Raw genomic sequence first — 9,219 nt, 5'->3', positions numbered from 1 at the left:
CTACATCCCAAATTTTTCCACTTACAAAATCGTTTATTTTTTTAGAGACAGGGTCTCATCTGTTGTCTAGACTGGAGTGCAGTAACATGATCATAGAATCATAGATCATAGCTCACTGTAGCCTCGAACTCCTGTCCTCAAGTGATCCTCACGTCTTGGCCTCCTAAAGTGCTAGGATTAGAGGTGCAAGCCACTGTGCCAAGGCTAATTTTTCCACCATTGACAAGTATTGTGTTTGTAAGTGCTATATGTAATTAAATACTAATAAATAATATTCAGAAATGAAATATACGGCCTCATTTGATTCTCCCAACTCCTTGCCCTCTGTATAATCTTGCCCTCATATTAGGAGAAGGTAAGGCTCATATGTCAAATGACTTTTCCAAGGCACCTGCAAATTATTGGCAATGCTCAACAAAGAATGCAGGTATCCAGATTCCATCACCTGATGGAGGATACCAATTTGCTGTTAACTATCAGGAAGCTTATAAATGAAACTTCACAGTTAAGTTGATAGAGAGGCTAGGAAAATTAATTAAGCACAAGCACAAAAGGCCCATTTCCCACATTTCAAGCCCTATTGAGTCAGGTGCATTAAGCTGGTACTGACTGCCCGTCCCTCTCCATGTCCCTCCTGCCTCCTCCGTTCTCTGTCCTTCCCCCCACATTCTCTGCCCGGCCCTTCCTTCTTGCCACCCACGGCAAGGTGTCACTCAGTGGAAAGAGCTCCAGCTTTATCTTCATTTACACCAGAGTCTGATTCTGATTCTACCACTTACTACCCATGATACCTTCAGCAAGTTGTGTCAACTTTCTGGGCCTCAAACCCTTCATCTGTTCAATGAAAACATTATTACTTATGTCATAGGACTAATTTAATAATTTACACAGCAGCATATGTCAAAGCTTCTCACATGGTTTTCAATGCTTAGTATGTGCTCAATCACGGTAACAGTAATTGTCATGATACAGAAGCTCAACAACTTTTGAAATGTCAGTCTCCATTATTATGCATTATTATTATTGCATTATTGTGAACTCAGGCCAGCAATAAGCCAGTGCACAAGGTCACAACTCTGTTCTCTGTCAATCAAAGCAGTCACTTGTATGGTGTCACTGTGGACTTAAACCAAGTGGATTTATGAGCAAACTTTGAGTTTCCAATCAGTTTGCAAAGTTTATAATAGTGTGTCGCTTCAAGCACAGATGGTTGAATCATGGCTCTGACACTTACTAGCTGTGATCTTGGTCAAGTTACTTAAAGTCTCTGTATCACAGTTTGATATTTAGAAAATGGGGATAAGAGTACTATAGGGTTGTGCAGATTCAATGAGTTAATATATGAAAAACACTTCGAACAATCCCTGATGCATCAAACATGTTACATACCTCTTTGCTGTTGTTGTTATTATTATACTGAACACCTGCTATGTGCCCAAGGACATGAAGCTAGTTATGGGTGAAGCCAGGAGTTAAACTCACCACTATCGGATTCTGAATCAGCACCCCAACCACTAACCTGCCTTCATTCACCATCTTTACCTACCTCCTTCCTCTTTCCTTCACAGTCCAACTCTTCCTTCATGTTCCTGGCATGCAGGTCTTTGTCTTGTCCCTGTCCATTCTTGCCATCCTTTATCTTTACTTTCCCTTCTCTATCTTGTTCCCTCTGCCATGAGCCTGGAGCTGAAGACTGCCTATAACACTGGTTGTATCAGAGACCCAACTGCAGTGCCTTAAACATATTTTTATTTTTCTTCTCTTTCTCTTACATAAAAGAAGTCTGGAGGTGAGTAGTTCAGGGCAGATGTGGTAGCTCCATCATCAGGCGGTCTTGCTGAACTCATGGCTTCCATTCTCAAAATCACCTCATGGTGACAAGATTGATGCTGTACTGCTAGCCATCACATCTATATTCCAAGTAGTAGGAATGAGCAAGATTACAAGAGATGACTCTGCATAGTCAATGCCATTTAAAGATCTTTCCTGGAAGCCCCAATCAAGTACTGTCATTTGGCCACTTATCTTCAGGGAAGACTAAGAAATAAAGTTTTTCATATGGGTACATCATTACTTTCAACCAAAACAGAGTCCTGGTATTAAGGAAAAGAAGGAGAATGGTTACTGAGTAATCAGCTAGCTATTGGTACTGTACTACTTTCAGAAAGAAGAAAAGGAAAGGCCAGGTGTGGTGGTACATGCCTATAGTCCCAGTTACTTAGGAGGCTGAGGTGGGAAAATCACTTGAGCACAGGAGTTTGAGTCCAGCCTGGACAGTATAGCAAGACCCCATCTCTAAAGTTTTAAATTATCTTTAAAGTTTTAAATTAAAATTAGGGGTAAAATAGAAAAGGAGAATAAATGTTGGGTAGGCAGCTAGCTATCTGTACTACACCATTCCTGAAGTTCCTTCTGAGGAGAATGCTGCACGTGGTTGAGAAGAATTCTTTGAGGAACTTAGGTAGGTGATAAAACATCCAAGAAGAATGGTCCGAGATTTATGGAACTCTAAAATTAATCTTTTTTTTTTTTTTTTTTTTTTGAGACAGGTTCTTGCTCTTCACCCAGCCTGGAGTATATTGGCACTACCAAGGCTCACCTCTGCCTCAATCTCCTGGGCTCAATTAACCCTCCCTTCTCAGCCTCCCAAGTAGCTGGGACTACAAGTGTGTGCCACCACGCCTGGCTAAGTTTTGTATTTTTCGTAGAGATGGGGTTTCACCATGTTGGCCCCATGTTGGTTTTGAACCCCTGGGCTCGAGTGATACACCAGCCTCAGCCTCCCAAATTGCTGGGACTAGAGGTGTGAGCCACTGCTCCTGACCCTAAAACTCATCTTTTAGGAAGGAGCATTCAGATTAACTGTAGGCCTTTTGTTTGCTGAATGGAGATGTAAGTTTTAATATAGAGGTGTTTTGCTTGGACAACAGAAAGACTAAATACTGCAAAGAGTCCCAAGAGTCCTATTTGTTTCTGTTCTTAACACCCCACAATGTTCAGCCCCTTCTCCAAATACTCTATTAACAAACATTTGAAGAATAGTGGTTTGAAAGGATGCCAAATCATTAGCCTGCCTGGGATAATTATCAATACTTGTGCTCACTCATGTTCGTTTCTCCTTTTCCTCTTTGTCAGCACATAGGAAGAGTACACTGCCCAGCCCTCTGGTGCTTATATAAGGCTATGTGACCATCTAGCCAGTGGTAAGCAGAGGTGACACATTTCACTTCCAGGCCTAAGCATCCAAGAGCAATGTGGGTTCCTGTTGCTTCTCTCTTCCCCTGCTGTAGTGAAGGCAGAGGTCGAGATGGTACAGCCACAAAACTGAAGCCACCTGGGAGCCCTGAGTGTCAGCACGTGGAGACAGCTGCCCTGGGGTGTTGGATGGGGTCTCAGTGTACTTCAACCACTCAAGAAATAAAATTTTTTATAATAGCCCCAAAGTGAAACAACCCAAATATCCATCAATTGATAAATAAATAAAATATGGTATATCCATACAATGAGTATTATTCAGCAATAAAAAGGAAAGAACTACTGATACATGCTACAACATAAATGAACCTTGAGAACATTACACTCAGCAAAAGAAGCCGGACACAAAAGGCCACATAATCTATAATTTCAATTATATGAAATGTCCGCAATAGGCAAGGACAGAGACAGAACGTAGATCAGTGATTGCCTAGGGCCATGCTGGGAGAGGTAATAGGGAGTGACTGTTAACCAGTACAGAGGTGTCTTTTTGGGGTGATAAAAATGGTCTAAAATTAGATAGTGGTGATGGGGGTACAACTCTGTGAATATACGAAAAGCCATTGGATAGTACAATTTAAACGGGTGACTATTATACATGAATTTTATCTAGTGTAGTTGTTTATCTAGTATAGTTTTTTAAAAAAAAGAAACAAGTTTTTGTTGTGTTCAACCTTTGAGGTTTTAGGGCTAATGTGGTAATATTGCAGCATAATCTGGTCTATCTTAGATAAATACTGCCCCAGGTGCCTGTATGTCCGTAGTCAGCCTTGGCTATACTGAAAATATAGTACTATGGGAGTAGAGATCAGGGGTCAACTAACTCTGCCCGGTGAATGGTGGAAGAAGTAACATCTGAGCTCTGTATCGAATAATAAGCAGAATAGCTCTCTCCTCCTCAGAAATGGATGCATGCATGGATGGATAGATAGATGGACGGATAAGTGGACAGACAGACAGACAGTATGGATAGCTTATGACAGGACACGGACTCATCGAAAGAATATAGCCGAAACTCTACCTAGTTGGACATGGCTAAAGTATGAGATATATATCATCCAAGATAGAAGTGGTGAGGCAAGAAAGGGCTTTATGTTAGGATATTCTTCCATTTCTATGAAGAAATACCTGAGACTGGGTAATTTATAAGAAAAGGGGTTTTATTGGCTCACAATTCTGCAGGCTGTACAGGAAACATGGCAGCTTCCTGCTGGGGAGGCCTCAGGAAGCTTCCAATCATGGTGAAAGGCAAAGGGGGAGCGAGGCGTCTCACATGGTGAAAACAGGAGCAAGAGAAAGAGAGAGTGAGAGGGGAGGTGCCACACGCTTTTAAGTAACCAGATCTTGTGAGAACTCACTATCGTGAAGACAGCACCAAGCCATGAAGGAGCTGCCCCCGCGATCCAAACACCTCCCACCAGGCCCCACCTCCAGCACTGGAGATTACAATTCAACATGAGATATGGATGGGGAACATATCCAAACTATATCAGGCCTTGAATTCCCAGCCGAGGTGCTGGGACTTGATCCAGCCAGAGAAAGCAGTTTTGAGGGATTGTTGTCAGAGAGCTGGAGCAGGAATATGTGTATTTTAGATCATTCTGGCACCAGCATAAAGACCAGATTCATGTAAGTAAAACTCTGGGTCAGGTGGGTAGCTTGAGCCTATCAGTCCGTGCAAACTCCAGCTCCTATCAGCCAGAGAGTCCCTCTGCCTGGTGCTCACTTCCCTCACCTCAGACCTGGTCACCCCTTCTCATCCTTTGCATCTCAGCATCCAAGTCACTTCCTCAGAGAAGCCTGCCCTGGCTCCACAGGCAAGTTAGGGTCCCTCATCTTGTGCTTTTCTAATGTGCTGTCTGTCTAGCCTGCATCTCAACTGTAACTAATCAACCACTAGTGAGATAGCTCATGTGTCATCCGTCTCCCTCACTGGACTGCAGGCTCCTATGAACAGGACTTGTCTTTTTCACTGCTGTACCCTCACTGCTTAGGTGGCATCTGACCCATCATAGCTACTCAGTAAATATTTGATGAATAAAACAAGTGAGTGTGTATGTGAACTGAAAGATGAATCTGCAATGTTAATACCTGGCTGAAAGCTGAACTTTCTTCTCAAGGAAAAGAAAAGCATGAACTAAATTTCCACAGTAGCAGGGAGTGGTAAGAGCACAGACTTCGGAGTCGGGCTGGTTCTGTCATACCTCAGCTGTGTGACCTACAGAAAGTCACTTTCCTCCTCTGAAGTTCAGTTTCTTTCTCCGCAAAATGGAGGCAATAACATTTATCTCATTCAGAGCGTGCACAAAGCAGCTAGCATTGTGTCATTTGATAGTAAATCCTCCAGACGTGACAATAATAACAAAAACAAGAGCTCTATTTTATCATTTAATCCTGACAGTAATCCTTTGAGGCTTATAACTCAGCATTTCTCAAACTTGCCTGATTATAAGAATCACCTCAGGGAACATGGTACAAATACACATCCCCAGCCCCTCACCCTGGCATTCTGATTCAGCAAGACTGGGGTGAGGCCTCATAAATCTATAGTGTATCAGGCATTCCAGGTGACTGCTATGAGCAGGCAGGTTTGGGCACCATTATGACCCCCACTTTATTGATAAGGAGAGTGACGCTCTGACCAGCGCTTCTCGCACACATGTTAACATGCTGGGGAGTCACCTGGGTCTTCGGATCCAGTAGGTCTGTGGGGGGGCCTGAGGTCAAGGATTTCTGACAAGCTCCCAGGTGGTGTTGATGCAGCTAGCCTGAGGCCCACACGGAGCCACAGGGGCTACCCTAGAGAGCCAGCTCACCCATCCTCAGGCACTTGCACATTGGTGGCAGGCAAAAATGCCAATGCCTAGGTCCTATCCCAGAGATTCTGATGTAATTAGGGGCATGGCCTGGGCGGAGGACTTTTTAAAACATCCCCAGGTGATTCTACTATATAGGAAAGTTTGCAAACCACTGGTTTAGGCCAGAATCATGTGGGTCAAATTCATAGAGCCAATAAATGGCCACACTGCCATATGAACCTATGTCTATCCGACCCCATAGCCGAGTATCTTGTGAGAGAGTAAACAAAATGGGACCTGATATTATTACTAGTGTTTTCATTATTGGAGGAAAGAGGGAGACCTCAAAAATAAGGCCAAAAGCCAGGTGCTTACGCTTGTAATCCCAGCACTTTGGGAGGCCGAGGCGGGCAGATCACGAGGTTAAGAGATCGAGACCATCCTGGCCAACAAGATGAAACCCCGTCTCTACTAAAAATACAAGAATTAGCTGGACGTGGTGGTGCGCGCCTGTAGTCCCAGCTACTTGGGAGGCTGAGACAGGAGAATCACTTGAGCCCAGGAGGCAGAGTTTGCAGTAAGCCAAGATCGCACCACTGCACTCCAGCCTGGCGACAGAGCGAGAGTCCATCTCAATAAATAAATAAGTAAATAAATAAGGCCAAAGAACATCAAGCTGGGGTCAGGATCTGGAAGTCACTATCACAAGCTGGGCTGGGCCACCAGTACAAATAGGGTACAGTTGAGGAGAGAGATCCCTGCTCCTTCTCGCAGCTGTAGGCAGACAAAAGCAGGCAAACGTGGGTGTGCGCCACTCCCGTCACTCGCTGGCTCCTCTCCAAATGGCATGAGCAGCTGCCGAGCCCTGCACTCACCTCACACCCACACTCATAGCTTTTTGAAGATAGAGAAAAAAGCCAGGCAGTCCCAGCCCCAAAATGAGAGAGGCACAATTGGACAACCTTGAGAAAGCTACAGCAGCCCCTAACTCAATTTCTTAGCAATTATCCTAGCGCTGTGTCTCCAAGGAATGAAGTCTGTGGCCTGATTCAGTAGAACACCAGACCTCCAGAGACAGACAAACACATTCCAACCACAAAATTCAGTTGGAAGACTCAAAGTGGAGAAGGGATGTCAAAGAAGACTGGCTGTAATTTCAGAAGCCATAACAGGCACCACCTGACACAGATAATAAAAATAAAAGCTATTATGTATCAACGGCCTGCCCTGTGCCAGACTCCATGCACTATCTCATTTAATCCTCATCAGCACCCCGTGAAGTAGGTACTCCTGGCCCCTTGGAATAGGGGAGGGGATTCAAGTTCAAGTTCACAAGTACAAAGATCACACAGCTAGGAAGTGGCAGAGCTGGGGTTTGAACTCAACCCCACCTTTTAAAATACTTTGTATTTTGCTTCTCACTCTGTGTGGCTGAGCCTCATATATCACTGCCTGCCTTGGCCTTTAAACAAAGGAAGAAATATTCTTCCACTGACTGTGGAGTGTAATAATCGTTCCTGCTGAGCCAAGGAGAAACAGAGCCCAGTTGTTTCTCCGTCCCTACATCCATCTCTGCAAGTTCGCGCTCTGCAGCCATGAAAGGGACTGATTTTGAGATGGCTGGAGGGACCCGAAGAGAGAAACTAATGAATATGCTCGGCTTTGAAGGGTGCCAGCACCACAGAGTGAGGTTGCTCTGAGCTGGCTGGAATGTGTTTGTCTGTCTCTGGATGTCTGGTGTCTTTGGTTTTTCATCAGAGCTTTATGCAGTTTTCATTTGCCCTGGGGATCTGGAACAACAATCCCTCTGTTCCAAAGGATTCATGCAGAAACAACTACAGGTGTAGCCATTTAATTGCCTAGCTTTAAAAAAAAAAAAAGGGCCAGGTGACATTTTGAACCAGCCGGCAGGGTTTTGTTCTAAAGAGCAGGACTGTTATTAGCTCTTATTTCATCCCTCCACCCCAGGGCATGGCATGGTTCTGTGTCCTCTACCAAGGTGACTCCCAGGATCCAACATTATCTACATCCCCCATCTGATCTCTGAAGCCTGAAAACCCTTTCAGGGAGGACAAAAGGTTTCATGCCATAATTAGAGATGAGGCTTCAAGGCCAAGAGCCACCACGAAGGCAAGGTGAGGTCTTTCCGGCCCATCAGACAGCAAAGAGCTAGAATTATCAGGAATCCTGAGTCGGTCCTTTAGCAGCTCACAACTAGGAAGGTCGTGGCAAGGGCAACAGTAAGCAAAAAGCTGGGAGAAGTCTTCAGTTTCAGGCTTTTAGCTTGCTAACATATTGGTGAGCCAGGAATATTTTTCCTTTTTTTTTTAAACCTGCAAGCTAATGAGAAAATCTCTTCCCTCAAATTCAAAGCTAATCACAAGCTAGGGACTAACTGGGCACCATTGTGCATTTCGAGCTCTTTGGTTGGCTTGGATTCGTTTTGATTTGGAAACTATTTTGCTAGCAAGCTTACAAATTGTTTGGCTGGGTGCAATGGCTTGTGCCTGTAGTACCAGCTACTCAGGAGGCTGAGGTGGGAGGATCACTTGGGCCCAGGAGTTCTAGGCTGTAGGGCGCTATGGCAATTGGGTGTCCACACTAAGTTTGACATTGATATGGTGACCTCTCAGGAGCAGGGGACCACCAGGTTGCCTAAGGAGGGGTGAACCAGCCCAGGTGGGAAACAGAGCAGGCCAAAACTTCCATGCTGATCTGTAGTGGCATCGCCTTGTGAATAGCCAGTCCACTCCAGCCTGGGCAACATAGCGAGACCCTGTCTCTAAAAGCAAACAAAAAAAACAAATAAGTTGTTTGAGAGATCATCTTGATTTAAAAAAAATCATTTTGGCTACAAAACCCAAACATTAATAATAAAAAACTCTTCTCAGTTCTTTCCCTCCCTTTGTTTCTCACCAGGATTGGGTTGCAAAATGGTCACGTAATAGAAATAATAAGAGCCAACCTTGACAGAGTATTTACCATTTGCCAGGCTCAGTTTCAAGGGTTTTACATGTATTATCTCATTTACTGTTTGCTACAGTTCTATGAAGCAGGTATTATTTACCTCCCCAATTTGCATATTAAGAAACTGAGACACAGATGGTAGGTAGCTTGTCCAAGGACACAGACAAGAAGAAGCCAACTCAGGATTTGAACCCAGGCA

At 44.3% G+C, this 9,219-nt stretch overlaps 1 pseudogene; it reads left to right on the top strand.

Moving 5' to 3' along the window:
• On the top strand, positions 8,540-8,837 carry RN7SL147P (RNA, 7SL, cytoplasmic 147, pseudogene; annotated as a pseudogene).

This window comes from Homo sapiens, chromosome 3 (assembly GCF_000001405.40).
Source record: "Homo sapiens chromosome 3, GRCh38.p14 Primary Assembly".
Lineage (NCBI taxonomy): Eukaryota > Metazoa > Chordata > Mammalia > Primates > Hominidae > Homo > Homo sapiens.
The sequence above is the reverse complement of the archived record's forward strand: the minus strand, read 5'-3'. Positions and strand labels throughout refer to the sequence as shown.